Source organism: Homo sapiens, chromosome 17, assembly GCF_000001405.40.
Source record: "Homo sapiens chromosome 17, GRCh38.p14 Primary Assembly".
Lineage (NCBI taxonomy): Eukaryota > Metazoa > Chordata > Mammalia > Primates > Hominidae > Homo > Homo sapiens.
In genome coordinates, this window is record NC_000017.11 from 77196991 (window position 1) to 77213199 (window position 16209).

The 16209-nt window shown below is 47.6% G+C and overlaps 1 protein-coding gene and 1 pseudogene across 7 annotated transcripts in view, besides 2 other annotated features; one reads left to right on the top strand and one right to left on the bottom strand.

Moving 5' to 3' along the window:
• Positions 1-16209, top strand: part of SEC14L1 (SEC14 like lipid binding 1) — a 128417-nt gene that overhangs the window by 108306 nt on the left and 3902 nt on the right. For all 7 annotated transcript variants that reach the window (NM_001204410.2, NM_001204408.2, NM_001143998.2 and 4 more), the window contains 7 exons: positions 3494-3683; positions 6580-6668; positions 8286-8356; positions 9239-9410; positions 9738-9872; positions 12352-12486; positions 14960-15211. In NM_001204410.2, coding sequence (NP_001191339.2) covers positions 3494-3683; positions 6580-6668; positions 8286-8356; positions 9239-9410; positions 9738-9872; positions 12352-12486; positions 14960-15211 — 1044 coding nt within the window. The remainder of the gene's footprint in view (positions 1-3493; positions 3684-6579; positions 6669-8285; positions 8357-9238; positions 9411-9737; positions 9873-12351; positions 12487-14959; positions 15212-16209) is intronic.
• Positions 2311-2553, bottom strand: CYCSP40 (CYCS pseudogene 40; annotated as a pseudogene).
• Positions 15075-15184: an enhancer, noted in NCBI's record as "active region_12825". NCBI's record gives its function as "activates an Ori minimal core promoter by ATAC-STARR-seq in GM12878 lymphoblastoid cells {active_cell/tissue: GM12878}" and the evidence as "EXISTENCE:reporter gene assay evidence [ECO:0000049][PMID:35858748]".
• Positions 15525-15574: an enhancer, noted in NCBI's record as "active region_12826". NCBI's record gives its function as "activates an Ori minimal core promoter by ATAC-STARR-seq in GM12878 lymphoblastoid cells {active_cell/tissue: GM12878}" and the evidence as "EXISTENCE:reporter gene assay evidence [ECO:0000049][PMID:35858748]".

Consider the following 16209-nt stretch of genomic DNA (forward strand, 5'->3'; position numbering starts at 1 on the left):
GGTTTTACACGTGAGGAAACTGAGGCACAGAGCAGTGAAGTAACCTGCCTGAGGTCTCACAGCCAGCGAGTGGTGGGGTCAGGATTTGAACCCAGGCCATTTTGTTCCAGAACCTACATTCTTAACCACTTCCACGTAACTGTGGTCCTTTCTGAGTGAAGATGATGCCACGTCAGTAGGCCACATGCTTTTGAGTTATTTCGCAGGAGTTGGGGTCATGAATAGCTCATGTTCCCACCCCCTTCTTGTTCTGACGGACCAGCCTCTTGAGTTGGTAAACACATGGCCACGGAGGAAGACACTTGGTCCACGTGACACTCGGAACACGGCCTTGGCCTTGTTCTTTATTCAGGGAGGCCAACCTGTTGATTGACAGTAATGGAACCTGGAGAAGATTCCTGCGTGTTAGTCAGCAATACTGCCACATCATGAAAACCCAACATGCTTTTTTTGTATTCTTTTTCTTTAATCTGTAGTTTTTGTTTTTAATTATCTTAAGTCTTATGATCACTCATAATTTTTAACTTTGTGTATATCTTCTCTACTTTAATCTTTCTAATGAGTTGGCAAAAGCACCATTGCCAGTCACGTAGACACATGGTAGTTCTACAGTTTTATGTTTTTGAATTTTTTTTTTTTTATATATGTATACAGAGTCTTGCTCCGTCACCCAGGCTGGTGCAGTCTTGGGTCACTACAATCTCTGTCTCCCAGGTTCAGGCTATTCTCCTGCCTCAGCCTCCTGAGAGCTGGGGTTAGCTCTGCCACCATTGCTGGCTAATTTTTGTATTTTTAGTAGAGAACAGGGTTCCACCATGTTGGCCAGGCTGGTCTCAAACTCCTGACCTCAAGTGATCCGCCTGCCTTAGCCTCCCAAAGGGCTGGGATTACAGGCGTGAGCCACTGGGCCCAACCTCGAATGACTTTTTAAAGACAATGCTAAATTATAACTTAGTCTGACTTAAGTAGTAAAGAATTCAAAAGTAAAGTTTAACTTGCTACTATTTCTTGTCATACTGACTTTTAAAAGCATCTGACCTTATAGATTGTCTATAAAATGTGAGAAGTGTTAAATATTCCTTATTTGATATTACACATAAACTACACTAAAATGCCTTTTAATAAATAAAGGGAACCATTTTAGATACAGGAAATTCTAATTAGATTGGCATAGTTAAGGCCAAAAATATAAAGTAGATATTGCTGCCTTATCTTCAGCCTTTGCCTTTAAGAGGCAAATAAATACAAAATACAGGTGAGTCTTGCTTGGTTCTGAGACAGTGAAGGGATTTCCTCAGTATTTAAATAGAGTCATATGGCCAGTTATGTAAACCCAAATATAAAACCAATCTCCAATAGGCTTTAAGATGGCATTTACGATCTTTGTGAAAGTTGAACATTACTAGCGAAGTCCAGTCACATCTTTAGAAGGGGAAAGCAGTGTAGCGTTACTGAATCAGAATTATTAAAATTCAGAAAACCGAACATAGTCCTTTAACCACAAGCCAGCCTTAGTTAAATCAGGATTGCCCAACCAAACTATTCTGATGATGGTTCATGATCTGAATTCTGGTGTATGAGATCTCTTTTTTTTTTTTTTTTGAGACGGAGTCTCGCCCTGTCGCCCAGGCTGGAGTGCAGTGGCGCGATCTCGGCTCACTGCAAGATCCGCCTCCTGGGTTCACGCCATTCTTCTGCTTCAGCCTCCCCAGTAGCTGGGACTCAGGCACCCGCCACCACGCCCAGATAATTTTTGTATTTTTAGTAGAGATGGGGTTTCACTGTGTTAGCCAGGATGGTCTCGATCTCCTGACCTCATGATCCACCCGCCTCGGCCTCCCAGAGTGCTGGGATTACAGGCGTGAGCCACCGCGCCCGGCCATGAGATCTGTTAAATTATGATATGCATTAAAAAGTCATGACATTTCTGTTTTGTAATAAGACAGTGACCAATTATTACTCATTAGAAGGTTTTTTGAGATAAACTTTCAAGTCTGCCCTTGCCGTCTTCTTTCTTTTTTTTTTTTTTTTTGAGATGGAGTTTCGCTCTTGTTGCCCAGGCTGAAGTGCAGTGGCGCGATCTTGGCTCACTGCACCCTCTGCCTCCAGGTTCAAGTGATTCTCCTGCATCAGCCTCCCAAGTAGCTGGGACTACAGGCGTGCACCACCACGCCCGACTAATTTTGTATTTTTGGTAGAGACAGGGTTTCTCCATGCTGCTCAGTCTGGTCTTGAACTCCTGACCTCAAGCAATCCACCTGCCTTGGCCTCCCAAAGTGCTGGGATTACAGGCCTGAGCCACCACACCCCGCCAGTGAAGACCATTTTTGTTCCAGGGATTCTCCAAATACCCCATCAGTGTGTCCTCACTCCAGGTGATGCTTTTGTTCTTATTGGCATCTGTGTATAAGAGAATCCAGCAGCCTGACCTGTCGTCTGCCCGGAGAGACGGTGGAGATGTGGCCCAGTCTTGTGCTTGCTTCCCTTTTCCATGGTGTGGCACTGGGCGGCACCCTTTGGAACAAAAATCTTGCCTTTCTCAACATCATCCATGTTTAATTCTCTTTTGTCTCTGGCACTACGAAGGTTTCCATTCAGAAGCCAGGTGTCCTGCTCTCTCTTTATTCTAACTTTTTATTTAAATGCAGTATGTATACAGAAAAGTGCAAGGATCATAGTCATTCATAGATCCGTTCATAGAGTTGAAGCATTTGATGTTTAGGGAATTATTTATGCCTTTGCTCTACTTTGCGGAAACGAAAATGAAATACTATAAAGATTATTCAAACTGATAATGCTGATTTTCTCTAGAGTAGTAAGGGAGATGTTTCTGGTACCACCTCATTTTTAATAGTATAATAGTGCAGCTCACTGTTGATTAGAAGTGGGAGTTTCAGGCCAGACATGGTGGCTCATGCCTATAATCCCAACACTTTGGGAGGCCAAGGCAGGAGGATTGCTTGAGCTCAGGCGTTTGAGACCAGCCTGGGCAACATGGGGAAACCACATCTCTACAAATACAAAAATGAGCTGGGCGTGGTGGCGTGTGCCTGTGGTTCCAGCTGCTCAGGAGGCTGAGGTGGGAGGATTGCCTAAGCCCAGTAGTTGGGGGCTGCAGTGAGCTGAGATCATGCCACAACACTCCAGCCTGGGTGGCAGAATAAGAGTCCCTGTCTCCAAAAGAAAAGTGGGAATTTTAGGGTCTTATTCCCTTAGCAACTTTTTTTTTAGGGCAGTAATGTGATCTCGGCTCGCTGCAGCCTCCACCTCCCAGGTTCAAGTGATCCGCCTGCTTCAGCCTCCGAGTAGCTGGGATTACAGGCATGCACCACCATGCCTGGCTGATTTTTGTATTTTTAGTAGAGATGGCATTTCACCATATTGGCCAGGCTGGTCTTGAACTCCTGAGCTCAAGCGATCCGTCCACCGCAGCCTCCCAAAGTTCCCTTCACAACTTTTAACATTGCTTAGAAATGTCTTTTTCTCTTAATAGATTCCAAAAGATGAGCATATTCTTCGGTTCCTCCGTGCACGGGATTTTAATATTGACAAAGCCAGAGAGATCATGTGTCAGTCTTTGACGTGGAGAAAGCAGCATCAGGTAGACTACATTCTTGAAACCTGGACCCCTCCTCAGGTCCTTCAGGATTACTACGCGGGAGGCTGGCATCATCACGACAAAGGTACCGGATGGAGTTGAAACTGTGTTTCCATCGTTGTCTTGATGTGTGGTTGAAGATATCTTCCAAGGCCTCCTTCCCTGGAGTTGAGTGGGGCCCCCTTGAGTGCATCGTTTCTCCTCACTCTGAGAATTTGGCACCTTTCCCAAGTTGAACAGACTGATACGTGTCACCACGGGCACACTCCCGTCCCGCCCCGGGCAGCCAGGAAGGGCCTGGGACTGCTCTTTCCTCATGGACACACGTCATCCTTGGGCAAATGACTTCACTTGCTCGGTGCAGTACAGTTTGTTTTGACCTATTAAAAAGACAGCAGTGCCTCTGGCAGAGTATTTTCAGTAGTGCAGTGTTAATAAAGGGACTTTTCAATGACTTAAACCCTATGATAGCTTAAAACGGTTCAGCCCGGTTTTCTACATCACAGCCCTGAGCACTTCAGTTCTGCTTTGGGAGTAAGTAAGGCCTGGATGAAGGGGGGCGATGCACCTGAAATGAAGAGTGGTTTAAATGAGAACCTTAAAACACAGTTCCCCCAAATGCCTTCCATACCCTGCCTTGCAGGAAGACCTGCACTGTCAAAAATACACTCTTTCCTGAGCCAAAGTTTGAGAGCCGGGCAGGATGGAATTGGAAACGTCGGCGAGAGGGAAGCACCGTAGAACTGGTTCTTTTACCCTCTGAACAAGTCCTTGCAGAACCGAGCAGCTCAGCTTTGTCTGTGATTATGACTTCATCTTTTGTATTGTTAAAAAGTTTGGTAGTAAGACATTGACAAATGTGTCTTTTTTTTTTTTTTTTGAGACAGAGTCTCGCTCTGTCCCCAAGGCTGGAGTCCAGTGGCAAGATCTCAGCCTACTGCACCCTCCACCTTCCGGGTTCAAGCAATTCTCCCGCCTCAGCCTCCCGAGTAGTTGGGACTACAGGTGTGCACCACCACGCCCGGCTACTTTTTGTATTTTTAGTAGAGATGGGGTTTCACCATATTGGCCAGGCTGGTCTCGAACTCCTGACCTCGTGATCTGCCCACCTTGGCCTCCAAAAGTGCAGGAATTACAGGCGTGAGCCATTGCGCCCGGCCTCAACAAATGTGTCTTATTAAACGTTGGGAGAAACTTTCTGTAAATAGGCCTTTCCGTAAGATTTTGGAGCACATAAAAATGTTTTGCTTTAAGTAGACCAGGTCTAGAGCTAGACTCTCCTGGGAGATGAAGTTCACTAGGTGACAAATACAAGATAAATGTTACCCTCTAACCCTCTGCCCCATGCTGGGACGACACTGCTGGTCTTCTGGTAACCACCGAAGACAAGTCTTGGTTCCTTTTCAGGAGCACAATCGTCTGTATTCCTCCTGCTGCGCCTTCTGGGACTGTGCGGCAGGAGGCTAGGCAGTGCTGACTCTAGGGATACACTATGGCCACCAAGCTCTTTTTCCCCTTTGTGTAGATGGCCCATGATGATAGGGCAGTATGATAGGAGTTAGGCTCCTCTCAGGCGGCACCCATTAGACCTCCAGGCTATAAAGAAGTAGAGTCAGGCCAGGCCCAGTGGCTCATGCCCGTAATCCCAGCATTTTGGGAGGCCAAGGCAGGAGGATGGCTTGGACCCAGGACTTCAAGACTAGCCTGGGCAACACAGTGAGTTGTTGTCTCTACTTAAAAAAAAAGGAGGCTGGGCGCGGTGGCTCACACCTGTAATCCCAGCACTTTGGGAGGCTGAAGCGGGTGGATCACCTGAGATCAGGAGTTCAAGACCATCCTGGCCAGCATGGTGAAACCCCGTCTCTACTAAAAATACAAAAATTAGCTGGGCGTGGTGGCACACACCTGTAGTCCCAGCTATTCGGGAGGCTGAGGCAGGAGAATCGCTTGAACCTGGGAGGCGGAGGTTGCAGTGAGCCGAGATCGTGCCAGTGCACTCCAGCCTGGCGACAGAGCAAGACTTCGTCTCAAATAAAAAACAAAAAAGGAGGCCCAGCACAGTGGCTCACGCCTATAATCCTAGAAGTTTGGGAGGCGGAGGCAGGCGGATTGCCTGAGCTCAGGATTTTGAGACCAGCCTGGGCAACACGGTGAAACCCTGTCTCTAGTAAAATACAAAAAATTAGCCGGGCATGGCAGCGTGCGCCTGTAGTTCCAGCTACTTGGGAGGCTGAGGCAGGAGAATTGCTTGAACCTGCAGGCAGAGGTTGCAGTGAGCTGAGATCGTGCCACTGCACTCCAGCTTGGGTGACAGGGAGAGACTCTCTCTCTAAAAAAAATAAAAAAATAAAAAAAAAAAAAAAACAGAGTAGAGCCAACACAGGCTGCTTGGTGGGGTTTTAAGGATTTTTAGAATGTTCTCATTTGTCTTGGTCCTTAGAGTGGGAATTGAGGGAAGCTGGCTTTTAAAAAGCTTTCATTCAGTTTTTAGTAATCTATGACATGAAAAAAAATGATTTTCTAAGAAAGAAAATTTTAAAAGTACTCTGTAGTCATAGAAAAAGTGTCTGGATAGTTTGATGTTCCCTTGCCGTTGAAAATCAGAGCTCTTGGGCAGCCCCAGTTGTTCAAAGTGAGCCCAGCTTATGGGCAGTTGTTCAGACTGAGCCCAGCACTTATGCAGCTCGAGCTGAGTGAGTCCCAGCCGGATTCCCCTCATCCCGGCACAGCCTTCTATTTCCAGGACCCTGCACAGCTACCCTGTCAGTTGGTTTTTATTTTTCTCGCTTACAGCTTTTTGGGGTAAATATTGGACACACACCCCCTATCACACAAATCAGTTGCCACTTCTAAGAATCAGAAAGACTTTTAAGCGCCCCTAGAACACAGGCGAACACATATTCCTGTTAAGGGTCTTAGAGTTGTATCCTCAGTTTCAACTGGGATGGTGCTGACAACTCATTCCTTCCCCTCCTCTGCAGATGGGCGGCCCCTCTACGTGCTCAGGCTGGGGCAGATGGACACCAAAGGCTTGGTGAGAGCGCTCGGGGAGGAAGCCCTGCTGAGATACGTAAGTGCGCGGCTGCGAGACTCCAGGTGCCACTGTGGCGTCACTTTTTTTCTCTGCCAGTAGGATTGGGGTGTTAACCAGCCTGTTAGAACAAACATGAATTGCTTATGTAGTTAGGACTGAAAATATATTAATATCGTCTTAAAATTTCAAAAGGAGACACAGAAGTTATAAAAGTGTTTCTCACAGTGGAAGCGTCAGTGAGGCAGTCAGGGTCTCCCCCGAGATGCCTGTGTAGCAGCAGTTTGAGTCTTTTCATTCACTCCCATGTGGAATTGCCCTCTCTTGGGACGCCACTCACAGCAGACCTCTTGATAGCATTCTTTCCACTGGCCCTTCGTTAACGCGAGCTCTTGGCGTCTTTCTCCAGACCCTCCTGAATGCCTGCTGACCCATCATCTCGCTGACTCCAGCCAGGCCCCGCTCCACTGCTGCCGCCATTGGCAGCTGTGCTTCCCCCTCCCAGAGAAGAAGATGGTCCTTCAATTTGAAAACAAACAGAAACTTAAAAGACGTATTTATAGCCCCATTATCCTGAAATACGCATTTTTGGCTTTATTTTTTATTATGTTTTTTGAGACGGAGTTTCACTCTTGTTACCCAGGCTGGAGTGCAATGGTGTGATCTTGGCTCACTGCAACCTCCACCTCCCAGGTTCGAGTGATTCTCCTGCCTCAACCTCCTGAGTAGCTGGGATTTCAGGCACCCGCCACCATGCCCAGCTAATTTTTTCATATTTTTACTAGAGACGGGGTTTCACCATGTTGGTCAGGCTGGTCTCGAACTCCTGATCTCAGGTGATCCTCCCGCCTTGGCCTCCCGAAGTGCTGGAATTACAGGCTTGAGCCACCCTGCCCAGCCAGCTTTTTTTTTTTTTTTTTTTTTTTTTTTAAAGAGACATCGTCTTACTCTGTTGCTGAGGCTGGGGTACAGTGTACAGTGTCTATTCGTGGGTGTCATCACGACTCACTGCAGCTTCAAACTGCTGTCCTCAAGCAGTCCTCCCACCTCGGCCTCCTGAGTAGCTGGGACTACAAGCACCACCACTGAGCCTGGCTCACTGTTGGCATTCCCTTGTGTATTGTGTTAGTCTGCCCCCACCGCTATGTGTGTTTATATATCCCCACATGCACACGTTCACACATAAAGATAGGGATGGACTTTATCTACAGGGGAGGGGTTTATTAACCTAAAGCAAAGGATCGCTTGAGCCATGCCTTACATCTGTTCTCAGGCTGCCTTTTCTCTTGGCGGGCACATGTGGTATCAGAGTGTTCTCACACTCACAGACATTCATCTCCTGTTCCCATGCACTTGTTCTGAAGACAGAGCCCCAGAGCCAGGCCCCTGCTCATCTGGGGATACCTCTGTGCTTCACTTTGGATAGCCGTTACCTTTGCCACACATGACAGTGTTTATTCTCTTTCAAAAGTAGAATTTATTTGTTGGTGGTGATGTGTTTAGCGCATGTGAATGTGTAAGAAAATCTCCATAGGTGACTTTTTTGATTTACATGCTTATCTGTAATACGCTGTTAGTGTCCCTCTTCCATAGCTGGACGCGGTAGTTTTAGCCTTAAACTAATCATGGTAAATTTTCATGCCCTTTTGTATGTAGGTTCTCTCCATAAATGAAGAAGGGCTAAGGCGATGCGAAGAGAATACAAAAGTCTTTGGTCGGCCTATCAGGTAGATGTGGGATTTTGTTTTTCCTTTCAACTTACTGAGAAAACGAATTAAATATTTCTAGTTGATTTTTGGAATTAAAATCTACTTATTATTTTCCAAGGTGCTCTAAAAGGTAGACAAGAAGTGAACATGTAATATGCCAGTGACGAGGGACAGACAGTTAGTGTTTTTTGACCCCAGGCATTGCTGTGACGTCAGCCAGAGTGGGTTGGCCTGTCTGCTTAGTCTGTGCGGGCCGCAGGAGCCCAGGGCTGCAGATCGTTTGCTTGTTTTTGCCTCCCCTCCCCACCCAGATGACTCTGTGTTCTTAAACCAAGCTCTAAGTTACAGTAAAGAGTTCTGAAAATGTTTAGTGATTCAGAGGTTGACATTGATAAGGGTGTAGATGGTTCACTGGGATGTAAGTTCCATGAGAACAGGGTTTTTGAGGGCCTTTTGCTGACTGCTGTATTCTCAGCTCCTGGGACAGTGCTTGCCTCTCTCTCTGTTGAAGCATAGCCCACTGCAGTTCAGATGCAATATGTGTTAAAATACCAGCTGTGTGCCCTGTTGATGGCAGGTTGGGGGGTGGTTTAGCACGTCGAGGACAGCACACTGTGGCTTTGCTTGCCGGCTCACTGAGCATATCTGAGAGAGCTTTTCGTGCATTATCAGTCAGCCTTAATTGCAGTTTCAGGCCTTGGTCCTACCACACTGATCCTGTGTGTTTTGTACAAGTAGATATAAACAGGGTTCATAGCACTATACATAGCACTATAATTTAAAAAAATTGATTATGATGTATTTGGAAATAGCTATAAATGACCAAAAAGGAAGAAAATAAGACACAGTTTGCTAAGTGTGCTGTCTGTTGAATGAAACACATCTCTGCACAACCTGCAGCTCATGGACCTGCCTGGTGGACTTGGAAGGGCTGAACATGCGCCACTTGTGGAGACCTGGTGTGAAAGCGCTGCTGCGGATCATCGAGGTGGTGGAGGCCAACTACCCTGAGACACTGGGCCGCCTTCTCATCCTGCGGGCGCCCAGGGTATTTCCTGTGCTCTGGACGCTGGTGGGTTGAGATGCTTTTTGCAGTAACTGTGAGCCATTTGGAAAGCAGATAACATGCATTCATATACACGTGTCTGTGACCTAAAGTCTTAACTTCTTAGGAAAAAAAACAATAACATGCAAAGATATAAAATTTCTCAAATTGTTTAAGAAAGGGGAAAAACAAAATGTGAGTGTCCTAATGCCATGCAAATAGACTTTACAGAAGAAGTATATAAACTTGAATGTCTTCCCCCCACCCTCCCACTCAGAATACCACATTGTCATTTTAATCTTGGACACTCAGGCAGCAGAGAAATATGACTGCATGGTCTTCTCCTCCTCACAGGTTAGTCCGTTCATTGATGACAACACCAGAAGGAAGTTCCTCATTTATGCAGGAAATGACTACCAGGGTCCTGGAGGCCTGCTGGATTACATCGACAAAGAGATTATTCCAGATTTCCTGAGTGGGGAGTGCATGGTATGTCCTGAGGCGAGGAACTGCACATTTGGCCCCTTATGCAGGTGGGAGAGGTCGGTGTCGATTTGCACAAATGATTTTCAGAACTTCCAGTTGTTTGGATGTTTTGTTTTTGTTTTGTTTCTTTTGGCCGCCATTTCTCTGATCCAGGGTTAAGCTAAAGAGAACCATTGAAGTAATTGTTGATACTGTACATTTCTTCATTGTTAAATACGAATGAGAATTCGTAGAATCAAATACGATTGCAGCTTGCTTTGATTCACACGGCTTTGTGTGAATCAGATCTTTAAACAATTTTAGAGGAGCTGTCATATTTTCTAAAATACTGTTAAAAAATTGAATCAGTTCTCAAAATTTCCCACCCGCCCCTCCCCGTCCTTTTTTTTATGGAGACAGGGTCCGGCTCTGTCACCCAGGCTGGAGTGCAGTGGTGCGATCACAGCTCAGCAGCCTGACTTGGTGGGCTCAGGTGATCCTCCCACCTCAGCCACCCAAGTAGCTGGGACTGTAGGCGTGCACCACCATACCCAGCGAATTTTTTGTAGAGGCAGAGTCTCACTATTTTGCCCCAGACTGGATGACATTTTTGGTTTTTTTTTTTCTTCTTGAGATGGAGTCTTGCTCTGTTGCACAGGCTGGAGTGCAGTGGTGCAATCTCAGCTCACTGCAGCCTCCGCCTCCCAGATTCAAGCGATTCTTCAGTCTCAGCCTCTGGAGTAACTGGGATTACAGGCATGCGCCACTACCCACAGCTAATTGTTTTATTTTTAGTAGAGATGGGGTTTCACCATGTCAGCCAGGCTGGTCTCAAACTCCTGACCTCAAGTAATCCGCCCACCTCGGCCTTCCAAAGTGCCGGGATTACAGGCATGAGCCACCATGCCTGGCCTGGATAACATTTTTAAAGTAAAAAAACGAAGGGAAGTGGTTCTCAACATACGTTTGGGGTTTTTAATATACTGAGTTGCTGGGTAATGAAGCAGAGGCCTCCACTTCTATATCCTGTACTCAGAGAAGCTCAGAACCTTGGGGTCCTTATAGGCTTCTAGCCCATGGTGCACAGTTGTGTCTTGGGAGCATTACGGAAGCCAGAGCCTCTAGAAGTCCCAGTGACTTGTTCCATGGCACACGGCGGTGGCTGAACTCAGCAGGGAGTGAAGCTCCTTTTCAGAAGGGCTCTCTAGTCATCCTTCATATGAAAAGTTACCCGTTTGGAATGTGTACCCACTGGGTTTGACTCAGGTATTTAGCTAATGAATTGGACATTCAGGGGACTTTGGACTTTCTGAATGGTTAGAGAAATTTAGAAAACAAATGAATTTAGCTTTCACTTCATCAGTTCCACTTTAAGGAAATTACAGGCATCATCACAGTACAATGCAAAGAGCAAGTAAGTTACAGTAAAGGTTATAGGACCAGAATTTAGCAAGCGCCTATGAGGTTAAACCGCAGGCTCAGGTTCGTAGAAACCTCTGAACTCCTTTCATGATATGAGCTAGCCATCCCGTGTTGTTGCTGCTTCCAATTATGACACGAAGAATTGAGCTGGAGCCCAAGGAGACCTGCCTCACCGCGTTGTGCCTGTTTGTCACATGCCGACCTCCGTAGTGTGTTTGCGGTGCTGAGCGTCTTTGTGGTTAATTGAACTGTCCAAAAACTTGGGCCTTCTAAGGCTTCTTCACCTCTCTCCTGAGCTGCTGTTGAGGCTGATTGTTGAAAGGAGGTTGTTCCCTCCTGCTCTCTGGTGGCCGGAGGTTACTAACCAGCGGGCAGTCTGGTATTTTTCCACCACGACATCACTGCTTTGACACTTATGCTGTACTGCAGGCTGAAGACTGAAATGTTTATTTTCTATGTAGTTGCTTCCCAAGGCTAATAGAACGAGGACTTCGATTTTATGAACTTTAGTGTGGAGTCATTGTGTCAAGGTCAATTAGGAGATTTATGTTATGTACAAGTTCTAATTCAACTTGTTTCAGGCAAATTCAAAAGAAGTTCTTCATTAGTTTTTGGCTGGTGTTATAGACCAGTCATTTGACTTTAGACAGAAAACATTATTCATTGATTCTGTATCTTCACTATAATTCCCTATCATAAAAATAATGCCTGTGGCTATTGAGAGCAAAACTCTTTTCTTAAAGTAATACTTTTCCTTTACAGGGCAATATAAATACCCCTAATGCTTATATGAGTCAGCTTTAGTAACTGGGTGCAGTGCCTCACGCATTTTAGTAGGAATTCTGTGGTACATCAGCTTCAACTTGTTCCCGTTTATGCAGAGTAAAACACATGTATTTAAGTGGTTTTTAAAAACATATTGCTCAGTAGTGCAGAGTGTTTTACGACCCTGCCAGTGTTTTCCATTTTCTCAGCAACCTCCAGAAGTTGAGTGCAGGGGGATAGTGCTGGCCGGTGTGTCTGGGTTTCGTGGGGTTGGTTTGTGTTTGCACAGGTTTCACTGCTGTGTTTCTTCTTCCAGTGCGAAGTGCCAGAGGGTGGACTGGTCCCCAAATCTCTGTACCGGACTGCAGAGGAGCTGGAGAACGAAGACCTGAAGCTCTGGACTGAGACCATCTACCAGTCTGCAAGCGTCTTCAAAGGAGCCCCACATGAGGTACGTCCTCCGCCTTCCTGCACCTGGGCCGGCCCTTCCTCCGCAGAGGGCCTGGCCCTCGCAGGGCTTCCTGGCAGCCTTTCATTCAGAACAGTCCACTCGTTTTTCTGCTCTTTGTCTTTAGGCTTTTGTTGACACTCGATATTTAGTTTCAGTAAATGTCAACGTCGAAGAATGGGTCTCTCTCAGAATAGAAACTAGCTGTGCTTGATCAGAGTGCCTGGAAAGGAAATTGGATCTCTTGACCTCCATTTTACTAAAGCCACCAAACACAGAGATAGGAATAGCTAATCTTTCCTTGTTGGAGCACTTAACTCCTGAATTTAGTTTATTTCATGGTTATATTGAACAAGTTTCATGTGCTACTTTTTCTTTTTTTTTTTCTAGACAGAGTTTTGCTCTGTTGCCCAGGCTGGAGTACACTGGCATGATCTCAACTCACTGCAACCTCCGCCTTATGGGTTCAAGCAATTCTCCTGCCTCAGCCTCCCAAGTAGCTGGGATTACAGGCACCCGCCACCACGCCTGGCTAATTTTTGTATTTTTAGTAAAGGTGGGGTTTCACCATGTTGGCCAGGCTGGTCTCGAACACCTGACCTCAGGTGATCCACCTGCCTTGGCCTCCCAAAGTGCTGGGATTACAGGTGTGAGCCACTGTACCTGGCCCGTTTGCTACTTTTTCTTGGCTGGGTTTTGGTTATTTATAGATATCTTGGGGATTTTCCGATTTCTGTAAGTCTAATGGAGCAAGGAGGGTGTTCCTGTATTCCTTTTTTGCTGTCACTTTTGGTAGAGAAGCAAGGGCGTTCCGTGTTCCTGTGCATGCCATATGTCTGTCCTGTAGCATCACGAGTGACCTGAAGCAGGAGGGGCCTGCAGCGGAATCTCCCTTCTCAGCTAGGACAAGGTTCGTGGCCCAGAGTTGTTGGAGAGGATGGTGGCACTCTGTGCAGAGCAGGTGTCAGTGAGGATGTGGTGCTGGCTTGGGCAATGGTGCTGGCCGGGAGCTGACTGCGGCCTGCTTCCTGCCGTGGTGGCACCTGGGTCAGCCATCTGCCAGTGGCTTCTGCTGGGGTGTCTTCCTGAGTGGCTCACCTGGTGCTTGCAGGGCAGGTGGATAAGGGAATGCTGTTGCCATGGTTTGAACAAGCAGAGACAGATTTGGTGTGCCTTACTTGTAGATACATACATAGAGGAATCTCAGATTTCATAACGTCTTGAGGATTGTCTGTATTCATTTCTTACCGGGAGGGCAGGCTCCAGGGACCGAGTCCTTGTTCCTTGTTTGTTAGGCACTATCGCTCTTGTCCATGTTTCAAGAACTTGGGGTGCAGTGTGTTTCGTGTGAATCGGGGGCATCTGTAGACATCCACATGGTAAAAACCTCCGTTCTGCTTTGGGTATTAAATAAAGCACAGATCCGAGATGGCAACAAACTGAAAGGAAGGCTGAAGCGGAGGCCCCCACTGTGAATGCAGGAAAGAGGTTCCGTCAGCACAGGGGGCCGAGGCCTCAGGATGGAGCTGCCTGGGGAGCCACTTTGCTGAAGAGGGGGCCGTGCCACGTGGTGCCGCCTGCTGTTCTTAGACAGGACCCTTGTACCTCACTGAATCTGCTGTGGAAGGACATTCTGAAGTGGCGTTTCAGTGGTGAGGTGGCAGTGGTGGGATTAAAGGGGCCCGGCTCGTAGAGCAGCCACGCGCTGAAGGGCACAGCAGACAGCGTGCATGGGCTGAGAGGGGCCGTGGGCCTGGCTCTGCTGCTTCCTTAGGTGGAGTTTTCAGTGACTGCAGAACTCTGCACAGCTGCTTTTCATTCTCACGTCCGCCCCCGCCCAATCTTTGAAACTAACTTTGATTATTCCCTCCTGGGTAGCTCTGTCGGTGCTGTGTAAGTTTGGTTTTCAATTGGTTCTCAGCACCCAGGGGGTGACCACCTCAACCCCATCTCTACTATGCCAGGGGCTCATCCCGCTCACCCAGCCTCGCCACTGTTCTCTCGTGTGAGCCTCACACGGCAGGCCCGGTTCCATGCCCCTGCTTCCCCCTTGCTGGGAACGCTGTCCTCAGGCTCCCCTGCCTGCTCTTTCTTTAGCTTTCACCTTCTCCAGGGCCTTCTGTTCTGTCCAGCCCAGGGCAGTCCTCTGAACCACTCATGTACGAGCTCACAGTGTTTGGTGTTTCTAAGACCTGGCCTCTTAGAGTGTGTGTGAAGATGGTGTATGGGAGATCTTGGACCTCTAGGTGCAGGTCACAAAGAACACAGAGCTTGGTGCATGACATGTAGCAGGATCCAGCGGTTGAATGGATGGTGGTGTGTGACTCTGGGGAAAGAGATCCGTCCATACGCATTCAGCGTTTCCCTCCCCAGCTTCAGCACCTGCACCCTGGATCCCCTGGAGAGCACGATGCGCTCGCAGCATGCCGGCCTGGTGCTCGTGGATCGTGGCTGCCTAACGCTGCCTCTTTTTCAGATTCTCATTCAGATTGTGGATGCCTCGTCAGTCATCACTTGGGATTTCGACGTGTGCAAAGGGGACATTGTGTTTAACATCTATCACTCCAAGAGGTCGCCACAACCACCCAAAAAGGACTCCCTGGGAGCCCACAGCATCACCTCTCCGGGTGGGAACAATGTGCAGCTCATAGACAAAGTCTGGCAGCTGGGCCGCGACTACAGCATGGTGGAGTCGCCTCTGATCTGCAAAGAAGGAGAAAGCGTGCAGGTAAAATCACACACAGGTCAAATCGCGCATCCGTGACTCCACACGGCCAGGTGATTCTGTCTTGAGTAGACTCTTTGCTTCGCTCCTTGAGCAGCCCTGTGTAGCTTTTGAGGCCCTGCTTGTGGAGGAGCAGCTTGCCTGGAGGAGCAGGAAGCCAAGTGGGTCTCGTAGGAAGGAGTTCAGGCCTCGCAGTGGTTTTGGACAGAATCTGCGACTTTTCCCAAAAGCAGCCTGTGACAGGAAGGGAAGGCATCGCACGCACGGGCCCAGCTGGGCTTCATAGGATTTTTCCCCCCCGCCTCATTTCACCGGGTTGTGTTTGTCTTTTTCAAAGGAAAATCACCCTAAATAGAAGTAAGAGGGACAAGTACTTAGAGAACTATTAGCTCTCATTACCAAACCTTCTAATTTGTTTCAAATGCTTTCAGTTCCCTTTTCACATTGTGGCTGGTTATTTTGGGTGCCTGTGCTCACAGTAGCCTCGGGGCGGGGGCATTGCTTCTGGCCTTCATAATAGATGCATCGTTTTGCTGCCTTTACAGTTTTCAGGGGTAAGGCTTGTCAGTGTTTCAGTGGTCTTAGAGGCAGAGTAAAAGAATCCTTTGTCCATTTTAAAAACAATGAACAGCTAAGCTGTGTTAACCAGTCATGAATTTCGGAGAGAATGGAGAAGGAGCTTTCCACGGATTGACGGCTCACTTTAGGGTGACGTGCCTTCAGCCCCGAACATGCTGGATGATTGGCAGCATGTCAGAGAAAGTGAGGCCAGGTCCAGGGAAGCTGTGCTGAGCCCTCCCTCCAGCATGGGTGCCACCAGCCTGCCAGGCTCCTGCCTCCGTAGGTGGGGTGGGCTGGGCAGGCCTCGTGAGGGCCACGGACATGGAGCTTGTCCCTCCGGGCTTCCCAGCACCCGGGAGTGACCACACTCAGTAGAGGGAAGGACATTGTCAAACCTGCTGCTGAAGCAAAATAGCAGGTTCTGAATCCCATTGAGATAG